The sequence below is a fragment of the Homo sapiens genome, chromosome 15 (genome assembly GCF_000001405.40).
Source record: "Homo sapiens chromosome 15, GRCh38.p14 Primary Assembly".
Taxonomy (NCBI): domain Eukaryota; kingdom Metazoa; phylum Chordata; class Mammalia; order Primates; family Hominidae; genus Homo; species Homo sapiens.
Window position 1 is genome coordinate 62,951,768 of NC_000015.10, and position 14,320 is coordinate 62,966,087.

Below are 14,320 nucleotides of genomic sequence, written 5' to 3' on the forward strand. Positions count from 1 at the left end.
TGCCCCAGGCACATTTCAGGAAAGTCGGAAACCCAAGCCTTGTTTGAAAGGATCTTAACATATTTAAACAAAATCAGAACAAGAAACTTGAGAGCAAGTGTCATTGAATAAAATTAGTTTGAATGATCCGTACTGATCTACACTTATTTAAGGGCCCCATGGGGCGTTTTATACATTCAAGTATACTTGTATATACTTGAACAGAGTTTCTTGAACAAAGATCTGCTATGCAGATGAGGAAAACCAAATTCCAAAGAGATGCTCACAAGTGGTAAGGGAAAGAACTAGACTTGTTTTTACTACGTAGATGCGTTTGTGTTCTGGTAGCATGCAAAGTCCCTCTTCGACATGTGAATATTAGTTATCAAAATGCGCGTTCTTATAAAAGAAACAGTCAGATGGCTCTGCCCTAGTGGTCGTTGTTCCTAGTTCACATTCATCAGTCACAGAAGCTGGCATACTGTACAATCCTGAGGAACTAGTTATATACAATTATGCTTGTTTCAGAATAGTGGGGGGGTGGGGGGAAATTGGAAGAACAATGTCACATTTGGGGAATTAAATGCCCATATAATCCATTACTTTTATTAAAAATATTTCTGAGCATTTATCATTCTTAGTTTTAAATAATATGGATTCTACACCACCTGCTAGAATCTGGGCTGGATGCTTTTTATACACATTGATTTAATCTTTACAACAATAGCACAGAATAAATCATGTAATTCCTAGTGCTACAGGAAACTGAGGCCCAGCAAGTATAAGTAACTTGCCTCAAATTGCACAACTGGAAAGTTCCAGGGCCATCACTTGAACCATATCCGTTGATGTTGGACTAACGGAATACATATTAGCACCTCATGAAGCCGGTTGACTTGCCTTGGGTGAATTGTAACGTCAATGAACTGCCTCATGTCTATCACAGGACAATTACACCTAGTCAATGAAATGTGTTGGAGCTTTATGAGGATTAAACGTGAGCCCATGTGGAATCATATGTGAATACTGAAGTTACACACAGCCCAGGACTCCTGAGCATGTGCCTGAAGAGACATGCAAGGACGCTCATTGGAGCATTGTTTTGTAACCGCGAAAAATTTGAAGCAACCAAAATGTCCATCAGCAGGAGAATGAAGAAAGAAATCATGATGGCTGGGCACGGTGGCTCATGCCTATAATCACAGCACTTTGGGAGGCTGAGGTGGGCAGATCACTTGGAGTCAGGAGTTCGAGACCAGCCTGGCCAACATGGTAAATCCCCATGTCGAGTTCGATCGGTAGCGAGAGTGGAGAGCAGACCAGAGAGCCCTAAGCAGCCCCACCGCCTCCGCCGGCCTATTTACCATCACAACCCAGGAGGAGCCGCAGCTGCCGCAGCCCGGCCCCAGTCACCATCACTGCAACCATGAGCAGCGAGGCGGAGACCCAGCAGCCGCCGCCCGCCCCCGCCCTCAGCTCCACCTACACCAAGCCCGGCACTACGGGCAGCGGCGCAGGGAACGGTGTCCTGGGCGGCCTCACACCGACGGCGCCTGCCGGCGGGGACAAGAAAGTCATCGCAACGAAGGTTTTGGGAACAGTAAAATGGTTCAATGTAAGGAACAGATATGGTTTCATCAACAGGAATGACACCAAGGAAGATGTATTTGTACCCCAGACTGCCATAGAGAATAACCCCAGGAAGTACCTTCCCAGGGTAGATAGGGAGACTATGGAGTTTGATGTTGTTGAAGGAGAAAAGGGTGCGGAGGCAGCACATGTTACAGGTCCTGGTGGTGTTCTAGTTCAAGGCAGTAAATATGCAGCAGACTATAACCATTATATAGACGCTATCCAGTCGTGGGGGTCCTCCACGCAATTACCAGCAAAATTACCAGAACAGTGAGAGTGGGGAAAAGAACGAGGGATCGGGGAGTGCTCCCGAAGGCCAGGCCCAACAACGCCGGCCCTACGGCGGCAAAGGTTCCCACCTGACTCCATGCGGAGACCCTATGGGTGTCGACCACAGCATTCCAACCTGTGCAGGGAGAAGTGATGGAGGGTGCTGGCAACCAGGGTGCAGGAGAACAACGTAGACCAATGAGGCAGAATATGTGTTGGGGATATAGACCACGGTTCCGCAGGGGCCCTCCTCGCCCAAAACAGCCTAGAGAGGACGGCAATGAAGAAGATAAAGAAAATCAAGGAGGTGACACCCAAGGTCAGCAGCCACCTCAACGTCGGTACCTCCGCAACTTCAATTACCGACGCAGACGCCCAGAAAACCCTAAACCACAAGATGGCAAAGAGACAAAAGCAGCAGATCCACCAGTTGAGAATTCGTCCACTCCGGAGGCTGAGCAGGGCAGGCTGAGTAAATGCCGGCTTCATCTCTACCAACATACAGTTTAGTCATCCAACAAGAAGAAATATGAAATTCCAGCAATAAGAAATGAACAAAAGATTGGAGTGGAAGACCTAAAGTGCTTGCTTTTTGCCCGTTGACCAGAGAAGCAGAACTATCTGCCTTATCTATGCAGCATGAGGTTATTATTTTTACTAAAAACGAAAGACGTCTCTTTTTGGTAATAACAAACGTGTTTTTTTTTTTTTAAAGCCTGGTTTTTCTCAATACGCCTTTCAAGGTTTTTAAATTGTTTCATATCTGGTCAAGTTGAGATTTTTAAGAACTTCATTTTTAATTTGTAATAAAAGTTTACAACTTGATTTTTTCAAAAAAGTCAACAAACTGCAAGCACCTGTTAATAAAGGTCTTAAATAATTTTTTGTTTGTTTGTTTTTGAGACGGAGTCTCGCTCTGTCGCCCAGGCTGGAGTGCAGTGGCGGGATCTCGGCTCACTGCAAGCTCCGCCTCCCGGGTTCACGCCATTCTCCTGCCTCAGCCTCCCAAGTAGCTGGGACTACAGGCGCCCGCCACTACGCCCGGCTAATTTTTTGTATTTTTAGTAGAGACGGGGTTTCACCGTTTTAGCCGGGATGGTCTCGATCTCCTGACCTCGTGATCCGCCCGCCTCGGCCTCCCAAAGTGCTGGGATTACAGGCGTGAGCCACCGCACCCGGCCGGTCTTAAATAATTTTTAAAAACCCATCTATTAAAAAATCATGATTCATTCATGCAATGGAATATTATGCAGCAGATGAACTAGATCTTACAAGCATCAACATGGATAAATCTTGAATACAAAGTGCTGAGAGAAAAAATTGTGGAATGTGTGAAGTATTTGTATTAGTCTGTTCTCACGCTGCTGTGAAGAAATACCCAAGAATGGGTAATTTATAAGGAAAAGAGGTTTAATTGACTCACAGTTCCGCATTGCTGGGGAGGACTCAGGAACCTTAGAATCATGGTGGAAGGCACCTCCTCCCAGGGCAGCAGGCGAGAGAATGAGTGCCAATCAAAGGGGGGGGGAAGCCCCTTATAAAACCATCAGATCTCGTGAGAACTCACTCACTATCACGAGAACAGCATGGGTGAAACGACCCCCATGATCCAATTACCTCCACCTGGTCCCGCCCTTTACATGTGGGGATCATTACAATTCAAGGTGAGATTTGGGTGGGAACACAGAGCCAAATCATATCACTATTGATGTAAATTTTAAGCACACAAAAATACTATGAATTGTTTATTGAATACACACATACCAGTAAAAGTCCTAAACTCAGATGAAAAATCTACACACCAAGTTAGAATAATCCATACCTCTGAGGAGGAGGAAGGGGGATGGAATCAGGGAAGAATACAAAGGACACTACAACTGTCTCAATAATTTTTTAAATCTAAAACAAATGTGGTAAATGTTAATATTTGTTCAGTCTAGGTGGTGGGTAGCTGGGTGTTGTGTTTTTTTGTATATGTTTAAAATAGTTCATAATTGGAGAAAAGCATCAAGTGGTAAGCAACTGTGAAACATCATTATTATAGCTATTCTTTATTGTTACTGTCACTGCCATCCAGGGACCCAGGTGACAGTGCTAACCTGGAGATGGGGACACTCATGTGGGCAAAGCTGCCTGATTTACACTCAAAAAGGATTAAATGAGGGAATATCTGCAAAGGCCTTGAGCTGTGTTTGCTTCCTTCCTCTATCCCTGCCTTAATAAATAAATTAATCCCAATAGAGACCACAGGAATTATCTGTGAAAGAAACCATCCCAATACCCAACTAAATGAAATATTTCAATTATCTTTAATGAGATGATGTGTGCACCTGTCCCATATGTGATGTTCAATAGCGACAACTAGCCGGGTGTGGTGGCTCACGCCTGTAATCCCAGCACTTTGGGAGGCCGAAGTGGGTGTATCACTTGAGGTCAGGAGTTGAGACCAGCCTGGCCAACATGGCAAAACCCCATCTCTACCAAAAATATAAAAATTAGCTGGGCATGGTGACACGTGCCTGTAATCCCAGCTACTCAGGAGGCTGAGGCAGGAGAATTGCTTGAACCTGGGAGGCATAGGTTGCAGTGAGCCGAGATGGCGCCACTCTACTCCAGCCTGGGCGACAGAGTAAGACTGTCTGAAAAAAAAAAAAAAAAAAAAAATTACAACTATTGTTCTTCCAGGGAATTAGGCTGGGCCTAAAAGAGGCATGCCATTGGCTGGGTAAAACGCAGGTCAACTGGAACCTTATCTCATGCACTTAGCTGGCTCTCAACTTCAAGACTGTGAGGCCTCCTTGCCATACTTGGGATGTAAGAAGGGCAAGCAGAAGATGGTTTGGGGGACTTCATGCCCCCGATTGTTTTAAATCCTCACCTTCCATTTGATGTTTTAAAAAATTGCTTTTGCACCAACCTAATATTTTAGTTAATATGATCAATGACCATGAAGCTGCTCTGCCGGCAAGCCTGAGGCCACATTGGGGATTTCAGCACAGTGATGGAAGGTAGACAGCTCAGTTATCTGTGGTGATTAGAGACCAGGAGGGGAGGGACACGGAGCTCTCCAGAGGCAGAATGTTCAGATAACAGCAGGCAGGATCTGAAGGAAGAGTGAAAGGAGGGCTTGCCAGAGGAGTGGACACATGCAGGCAGAACATGGAGGCATTCTGAATATTCCCCCTCCTGCATGCCATATACTGGCCAGATGTACTGCCAGGTGAATAAGGCACAGGAGTGATATAGATGAGCGTGGTCCAATAGAACTCTCTGTGATGATGGAACTGTTCTTTATATGGTCCAATACGGTGGCCACTACCACATACAGCTATTGAGCCTTGAAATGTGGCTTGTGTGACTGGGAAACTGAATTTTTGCCTAATTTTAATTAACTGACATTTAAAACGTAAACAGCCACATATAACTACTGGCTCCTGGATTAGATGGCACAGGAGAGGAAACTGACCTAAGAGTTTGATGGAAGGAAAAAGGTTGGGAAAGTTCTGGAACATAAGCCACTGTCTATAGGGGGTCAGCCTTGATCAGGCACCACCGTGAGGGTTTTCTAAGCAGCTCTGGGCATCTGAGGCCAGGAGGGGAAATTCCAAAGGAAGGAAGGTGACTAAGAAGCGTGACAGCCTTGCCAGCCCAAGTTTGTCCAGAAACAACCCTCTTCATTTAGCATCTGGAATTTGACCAGGCAGATGTAGTTCCAGGGTATGAAACTGACCTCCAAACTCTGTGCAAGCTCTGGGAGGCACATTGCTGTGCAGGAAGCAATGCGACGTGACAGTGAGCACTCTTCAATGTCAGGCCCATTCTGTCTATATCATGCGGTCCCACAAGCTGGGAGAATTGCTGCTCACTCCGTTGTTTCCCTTGGTCCCTGCATGTACCTCTCAGAGAGCACCCACTCTGTGATTTCAACCCCTTCCTCCCTCCCTCCCTCCTTCCTTCCTTCCTTCCTTTTTTTCTTTCTTTTTTTTAAAAAAAGTTTTGATGCAATGAAATAGAATTGATGCACAGGTCCTAAGTTTGGGCTGTGGGTTCTACATCCCAGCAACTGCCTCTGTCAATTGATGTGTCTGTCATCTTTGCCTAAGATTTGTGACTGTAGCTATAGGAGCCGTTTTTGTTGTTGTTGTTTTCTTCTTAGACCTATACAGGGTGTAATCTGTAGGGCATCATTGAAATCAACTTGTCCAAATCCTATATGTTACATACGGAAGGACAGAAAACCCAGAGAACTAAGAAGCTCACCGCAGCTCACCTGCCCCTGAATTAGTGGAAGGTAAGGAATTAGAACCTGCAGATGACACACCCAACCCTCCCTATCCAGGAACCACCCCTTCTTGCCTAGAATGAATCCTCCATTTTTGTCAGCCCCTCACGTGTTTCCACTGCAAAGGTGTTCTTCACCCTGCCTTCAGGGACGCAGCATAAATCCTTAGATTTCCTCACATTGTCTTCCCTCTTCATTCACCCCCCTGGGCTCCAGTGGAAATTAGGCCAAAGAAGAACCACCTTCCACTCCTGCCCTACCTCACTCTCTCCTACAACACTGATATCTAGGATAGTCCTCTCAATCTTTAATGTGCATAAGAATCTCCCTGGGATCTTGTTAAAATGCAGACGCAGACAGTAGGTCTGGCTTGAGGCCTGACATTCTGCACTTCTAACAAGACCCCAGGTGATGCTGAGGCTGCTTTGAGGAGCAAGTCTCACGCTTTGGTCCTAAGGGCTAGAGCTGAAAGGAGCTGCCAGAGGTCAGGTGCTCCAGAAGTAGAGCTAAGCCGGCGATTCCTATAGACGGGGCCCCAGAGAAACCAGTAAGATAGTCGAGGAAGTAGAATGAGGTAGAAAGGAAGCTAAGCAAAGAGCTGGCTTCAGCTAAAATCTAACCTCAGCCTGATCCACAGGTTGCTCTGGGACATAAGTGACACCACAAAGCTGTTCCAGTGTCAGCTGAGGCAAAGGAGCTAGGTTTTTGCTTCCAGCATCAGGCAGTCATTAGCTGTGAGCTGCCCCTGGGAGAAGGACATTGCCATCCCTGGATAACCTCCAGGCATTTTCAGGGTTGGCAGCTCCCACTTGGTAAAGGGCAAGCCTCCAGAGAAGTAAACAAGCATGAGCCAACAGTATGCAACACTCACAGCAGCTGGGGGCAGGTGCCCCCGCGGTAAAGAGGATCCAAGCAGGCCCCCAGCAGAATCTAGCATGAGGGCCTAAAACTCTTGCAGGCCATCTGCCCAGCCCCACTTTTGCATAGCAGAGATTTTAACTTTGAAAGCTATGCATATGTACATGAAAAAACAGAATTAGAAACACCAACACAAAACTTTACAACGGTGATCTCAGCTTGACTTTCTTGTCTTTTTCCACAACTTTCAAATTTGCTACAATTAACATACATTCTTTTTGTTGTTGTTGAGATGGGGTCTCAGTCTGTGGCCCAGGCTGAGTGCAGCAGCGCAATCGCAGCTCACTGCAGCCTTGACCTTCCTGGCTCAAGTGATCCTCCCACCTCAGCCTCCTGAGTAGGCGTGTGCTACCATGCCTGGCTAATTTTTGCATTTTTTTGTAGAGACAGGGTTTTCCCATGCTGCCCAGGCTGGTCTTGAACTCCTGGGCTCAAGTGATCCACCTACCTTGGACTCCCAAAGTGCTAGGATTACAGGCATGAGCCACCGTGCCTGGCCAACATGTATTAATATAAACCAATCAAAGTAAATTCACTGATAGCCCAGCTCAGAATCTTAGAAATATTTTTATTTTATTTAGTAACTTTTTATTGAATGCCTGTTATTACCATTTACAGTCCTATGTGATTCCAATCAACCTTCACAGTGCAATACTAATGACAGGGCACACATCTGAAATGCAATTGGTAGCAAAGAGAAATTATAGACTGTTTAGTATGGTTTTAAGTTTGAATCTATTTTTTTTCCAAGTCTTTGAAAATTGCTTATCTACATAGCCCTTTAACTGGAACAGCCCATTCATCAACCCCTGGTTTAGTGATGTGAAATGCCAAGACACAGGTCTTGGCAAAAGGGCTAACAGAACTCAGGCCCCTGACTCCTGTTGGTTCTCAAAGACCACACAGCCTGTTGGTGCCCCATGAGCAATTTCTATGGACTTCCTTCTTTGTTTGCCCTGCCTAATTAAGCAATCAAGTTAATTGAGATTAATGGCTTGCTTAATAGGGATTAATAACTTGCCAAAAATGCCCCAGGTTTGGGAACTTACAGCAGTAGTACTGCTCGTTGTAAAAGCTGGAGATGTGGTGGCCAAGCAGAGCCCAGACCCTCCGGCCTCTCTGCTCACTTCTCAGAGGGTGCCTCAGGCCTTCAGGAAGAGATGGGATACTGTGGGGAGAGGGGGATGGGGGAGGTAAAGCTGCCACATTAGATTGACCTTCAGAGGCCCTACAGCTCCTGCTCAGGCCACAGAGGCCTCCATTGCTGAGCCAGGCACCAAACCCAGTGCACGGGCATAGTCCCAGCTTGGTAGGCCTGGGCTCCTGGGCTCCTGGCGAGCCCTAAGGTGCCTTCCAGTTCCAACAGTCCCTGGGTCTCTGGGTTCTCAATCTTGGTTTCCTCTTAGAATCTCCTGGAGGGAGCTTTTTTAAAAATGCTGATGCCCCAGCCCTACCCAGAGTTTCTGATTTAATTGGTCTGGAAAGAGGGGAGATCCTTTTTATAAAAGTTCCCCAGGTGAGTCTTATGTGCGGACACTGACAATGAGATTGAGGAGTTTTTTTAAAGCCCAGTCCTTTTGGTGATAAGAGTGAAAGAAAGTGGAAGGAAGGGGCCAGGCGTCGTGGCTCATGCCTGTAATCCCAGCACCTTGGGAGGCCGAGGTGGGAGGATCACCTGAAGTCAGGAGTTTGAGACCAGCCTGGCCAACATGGAGAAACCCTGTTTCTACTAAAAATACAAAAAATTAGCCAGGCATCGTGGTGCATACCTGTAACCCCAGCTACTCGGGAGGCTGAGGCAGAGAATTGCTTGAACCTGGGAGATGGAGTTTGCAGTGAGCCAAGATCATGCCACTGCACTCCAGCCTGGACAACAGAGCAAGACTCTGTCTCAAAAAAAAAAAAAAAAGAAAGTGGAAGGAAAGAAAGAACGGAAGGAGGGAAGAATGGAACCAGAGCCACTGATACCAAGGGGTTTCTCAGATTGAGGGGAAGAGGGAGGGGAAGAGGGAGGGGAAACAGGACAAGGGCAGAAGGAAGGAAGACAGTCCACACCAAATGGCAGCTGCCTCTCTCCTGCTGTCTGTAGGCTACGGAAGGTCGTGGTTGTTTCTTCTCATTCCCAGTGGAGAAAGAATCAATGGCTTGAATTTTCTGCCCAAGGAGTCGTTTTTTATCTTGGCTGATGCCCTTGAGTCTCTCAGTAGAGCCTCACAGAGGTGGGGACATTTGTCTCCTGCAGACTGCAGCCGGTCTGCACACCTTGATGCACACCTGGAAGGCTACCCCTTTGGCTTGGGGCCTCCCCTCCCCAGGTGGAGGGTTCTCTCCCTTCCCTTCCCTTCCCTCAGCTGCTCAGCCTGCAGGTCTGAAGTGGGCACAAGGGCCAGAGCCCAGCGGGTGCTGGACGGGCCAGCCTCGTGATGCCTCCGGTTTTACAAGACACTGGCCTTCTCCTCCTCTTCCCTCCCCACAGACGTCAAAGGCTTCACAAAACAAACACGTAGCTCTGGGGTCAGAGACCTCTGGCAAGAAGTTCTGGGCCCTCCTAGGTTGGGGACTGTGCTTGCAGGATTGAGCAGAACGGGGAAGGCCAGCTAGATCGCCACTGGAAAGAGCAAAGAGCTATCCACAAAGGGAAAGGGGAGAAGGGAGAGACGTTCCCAGAGAGTGTGGGGGGATTTTGAGAGGGGGCAATGGCAGATCTTGGAGCAGCTGCCCTACTCGGATGTTGGGGAGTGGGAGCAGCTACATGGTGGCACAGAATTCTAAACATTTTGCTATGCTTGATGGATATATATAATCCCCTTAGATGTTTTTCAAAAGACAACAAACTATTCAAATTGCTTTTCAATTATGTTTGGATGTAGCTCTGCTGTTACTTCTGAATGCAACACCTTGTGAATGAAAGCTACAGTGCAAACCCAGAGGCCTCGATTTATCTGAGACAAGATTATCTACCGCCAAGGCGCACGGGAGGATTGAATTGATGATGTACCTGCAAACGCCCAGTGGCACGATGCCTGGCACAAGACGGGCAGGTGTTCACTAAGTCCAGGATCTCACCACCTCCTCCCACCTCCATCCTTCCATCCACTGACCCCAGAGAGCCATGCTTTAGCCTAACTGAACAGCACAGGGCATGTCTGTTTAAGGGGTAACTCTCACAGTGGGCATTTCAGGCCCTGGAAGCTGCTGGAGGTTTTGTGGGCAGCTGCCTCCTCCTAGAAAATGGCTTTGCTGTCAGTTCTGACCTGGTGTGGGGAGTACACTCACACCTATCAGACATCTTAGCAGAGGCTAAGGAGCAATTTACTCTGGGCGCCAACATTCCCTGGCAAGGTCAGATTCCTGATGCCCTTTTGGGGGTGTGGTCCTGCCGGTGACCTCTGTAGCTGTCCATCCTTCACCCCACACCCCGGTCCCTCACTGCTCTGGCTTTCCTACCAGGACTAGCTCTGGCCGAGCCCACAGGACTGGTGTTGCAGGGAGGAAGTGGTGAGCTACCAGGAGACACTCCAGAAACGGTGTCTGTAATTGGCCTGGAGAGAGTGGCTGTCCAGATGCAGGCAATTTTGACTTTGATGTGAGCAGAATTACAAAGAATCATAAAAAGAGCCTATGATTTGGGCTGAAACCGTGCCACGGCAGTTGAGTCCCAGCCCTGCACACAGCTGCCTTCCCCTTCTGCCTGGAAGTCAGCCCTCCTGGCAGCCGCCCTCTGCCCTCTGCCTGGCCAGCCCCTGCTCCTGTTCACAGTTGCACTCAATGCCCCTTCTCCAGGAGTTGGGGCCCCGACTTGTCCTTGCTTACAGCACCCATCCCCTCCCTCAACGCACCTACCCCCCTTTCAGTTAAATTGCTTCGGGTGACTCCTCCCCTCCCTTGGTCCCCATCAGACTGAAGAGCACAAAGGCAGGGGCTGCAGCTGTCGTGTGGTGTTCACCCCAGTGTTCCAGAGCTGGCCGGGGCCGGCACGTGGTGAGCCCTCGGAGCACCTGTGTTACATGGATGAATGAAGGAAGGAAAAACGGCTGGTTTTTTAGTGGGGCTTCTTGTATAACACCAGGAATCTAGGTGTGGGAAACCTCCTTACCAGAGGAGGATCCAATTTTCGTGAACCCCGAACCTGATTAATTTGGGGGCCCCTTTGAAGAAAAAACTTTAAAAAATAATAATTATACCATAAATTTTACAAAAACCCATGACATCGAAGGACGTATCTAGGCCACTTCCAGGACTTAAAGTAAGACACTGTACAGTGTATGTGTCATTACTCCATCCTCAGGCTCCAGGTGAGGGCAGCCCAGCATGACTCTCAGGACGCTTCTGCCAATGGCACTGCTTTAGAGCGAAAGGCACCAGCAAAGAGAACTCCTAACCCACAAGCTCTCTCCCCTCTACCTTCCCTTTCCTGAGCCACGGCCCAGTCAGTTAATCTGGGCTCTGAAGGGTGACAGGTTTGGGGATAAAAGACAAAAACCCATGGAGTCATGGGGCCCTAAGAGTCCCGCCAAACCTCATCTACCTATGGTCACTGCTGCCTGACATCCATTATGAGGAACAGTGATTTCTGCACAGGCCTTAGGCCTAGCTCAGGGCTCAGCTCAGTGCTTAGAGCTCTCCTCTGCAGATCTCTGGAGCAATCTTTCTCTTTCTCTGGGCAGCTCTTTCCCCTCTAGTGCTCTGCCCTGTGAATTCTAGCCACCTTGACCTCCCTGAATTCTCAATGCCATTTTCTCAATTCAGGGAGCCCCCAGCTCTGTTTGGATTCCCCCACTGCACTGTGGCCTGCACACTCCCTCCAGACAGCAAGCTGGGATGCCTCGTTTGTGTCCCTTCTCATGGTTCGCTGTCCTGAGCCTGTTATTTTTAATATTTTACCTGTTTTTTTTTTCTTAGTTCTTTAAGGTGGGAGAGGGTAATTCGGTTACTGTTGTTCCATTTTGGCCGATAGTAGACATCTAGTTCACCCATATTCAGGAAATTGTCTGCCAAATACAGGTCTAGAGAACAGAGTTTGAATGTCAGTCATTCTTTTGATTAAAAGTGGTGTTTCAAAGAGAAGCGGCTAGTTCAGTTTTCACACCTTGAACAATCACACACGTGCTTTTGCTCCAGAGCACCACTGCAGCTCGCCACGATGCTTTCTGCATTGGTCCCTTCCGTCACATGGTGGTAGCAAGACTCCTGCTCCAGGACTGAGATTCCACACAATTATTTTAGCATTTCATCAAAGACATTCTTAACCCATTGCCTTTTTTTTTTTTTTTTATCTTGTGAGTGCATAGCAGCGGAGAAGAACAAGACCGCTAGTACCTTTGAGGGCTGTCTTTGATTCATGCTAAGGCACCAGCCGTTTTATACTCCCCTTTTTTGCTTTTGCACCATTGGAGTGCAAGTGTCCATGCAGCACGGTATTGTTATGAAAATAGTTTTGACCTCTCAACCCTCTGAGTCTCAGGGCTGCCCAAGGGTTTGTGGAACAGAAGGTGAGTGCCACTCAGTTGAGCTACCTTGAGTAACCCCCAGACTGCTGGCGATCTTCCTGCCTTGGCCTCCCAAAGCAATAGGATTATAGGCGTGAGCTGCCATGCCCAGCCCCTCTGTGTCATCCTTAATGCGCAACAGCTGGGTCCTGTGTACCGAGGCAGGGCCTGTCTTTGGGAAAACAACTCAAAATTACCCCATTCTTTTATGTGTGTGTGGTTTTTTTTCTTTGTTTATTGGGTTTTTTAAAAATTACTAAGTAATTCATTCTGGGAAGTAATAAATGCATTTATTTTCTTCTCTGCATTTTAATTTCCTTTCTGGATTCAAAAAAATAAAAAAAATTTAAAGTATGTGCTGAGAGCTGGTAACTATTTTCCCACTCTTACTGGAGAAAGAATAATCCCATGCAAACTTGTACACATATCAGGTCCTTTTTGGAATGGAGCCGTGTGTACATGGAATGAATGAATAAATCCAGACTCTCATTTAATTAATGCCCCAGAAGCTACTAAGAGTACTTGCAAAGAGTTCTTTATCATAGTTGAGCTGAGAGGGGTAGTGGGGACAGGTGTGGCTACTGTATCCCCATTTCAAAGATGATCAAATGAAGATCATTTTTGCAATCAATGCTACTTGCTACAGTCCTCTCTGCTTCTAGTGCCGCTTTATGTCAGTAGCAATACCTGGAGTACAGGGAAACCATTAGAAAGCCAGATTGTGTCTTTCGACCTTCTACCCAATTCTGTCTACTTCTCTACATTTTTCTTTTCTTTTCTTTTTTTTGAGACAGAAACTCACTCTGTCACCAGACTGGAGTGCAGTGGCACAATCTCAGCTCACTGCAACCTCTGCCTCCCGGGTTCAAGTGATTCTCCTGCCTCAGCCTCCTGAGTAGCTGGGACTATAGGCACATGTCACCACACCCAGCTAATTTGTTTTGTATTTTTAGTAGAGACGAGGTTTCACCATGTTGGCCAGGATGGTCTCGATCTCTTGACCTCGTGATCCGCCCACTTCAGCCTCCCAAAGTGCTGGGATTACAGGCGTGAGCCACCGCGCCCGGCCTACATTTTTCTGTTAGTGACATGGATGTTCCCTGGAGCCACTGGAAGGAAAAGCACTATCCCAGCCTCCTTGTACTCCCACATAGCAGTGCTGAGGTTGGCGTGATGCAGGCTAAGAAAGTGGGTGCTTCCATCACATAGACCTAGATTTAAATTCAGCCTCCACCACTTCCTCGCTGAGTGCCCTTGAGAAAGTTACTTAACCTCTTTGTGCCTTAATTGCTCTCCTAGAAAAGGTACAATAATAGTACCTTGCTCACTGGGATGTTATGAGAATTATATACGATAATGTAGGTAAAGTGCATAGCTTGGTGCCTGCACACTAAACTCGGGGCTAAGTTATTATTATTGTTAATAATAATGGTATCAGGCTTCTGGTAATTCTCTAGAACAGTGGTCAGGAAATTGCTGCTGTATACCAAATCCAGCCCTTGGTCTGCTTTTATATGGCCACTGAGCTAAGAGTTGTTGTTATATATTTTTAAAATTTATTTATTTATTTTGGTTGTTACATTTTTAAAGGGTTGTAAAAAGAAGGAGAAGGAGGAGGACAGGGAAAGACCATATGTACTATCTAGACCTTTATAGAAAAAGTTTGCCAGCCTTTGCTCTAGAAGCCCAAAATGAGGAGTGTCACAGGTTACTGACACTCCACCAATATCCTCTCAAATTCACCTAAGTG

The 14,320-nt window shown here is 47.1% G+C and overlaps 1 pseudogene, besides 1 other annotated feature; it reads left to right on the plus strand.

Moving 5' to 3' along the window:
* The first annotated feature begins 1,390 nt into the window (after positions 1–1,390).
* On the plus strand, positions 1,391–2,391 carry LOC100287243 (Y-box-binding protein 1-like; annotated as a pseudogene).
* Positions 9,503–10,003: an enhancer, noted in NCBI's record as "H3K4me1 hESC enhancer chr15:63253469-63253969 (GRCh37/hg19 assembly coordinates)". NCBI's record gives its function as "activates a minimal SCP1, AML or CMV promoter by ChIP-STARR-seq in primed H9 embryonic stem cells {active_cell/tissue: H9 hESC(primed)}" and the evidence as "EXISTENCE:reporter gene assay evidence [ECO:0000049][PMID:30033119]".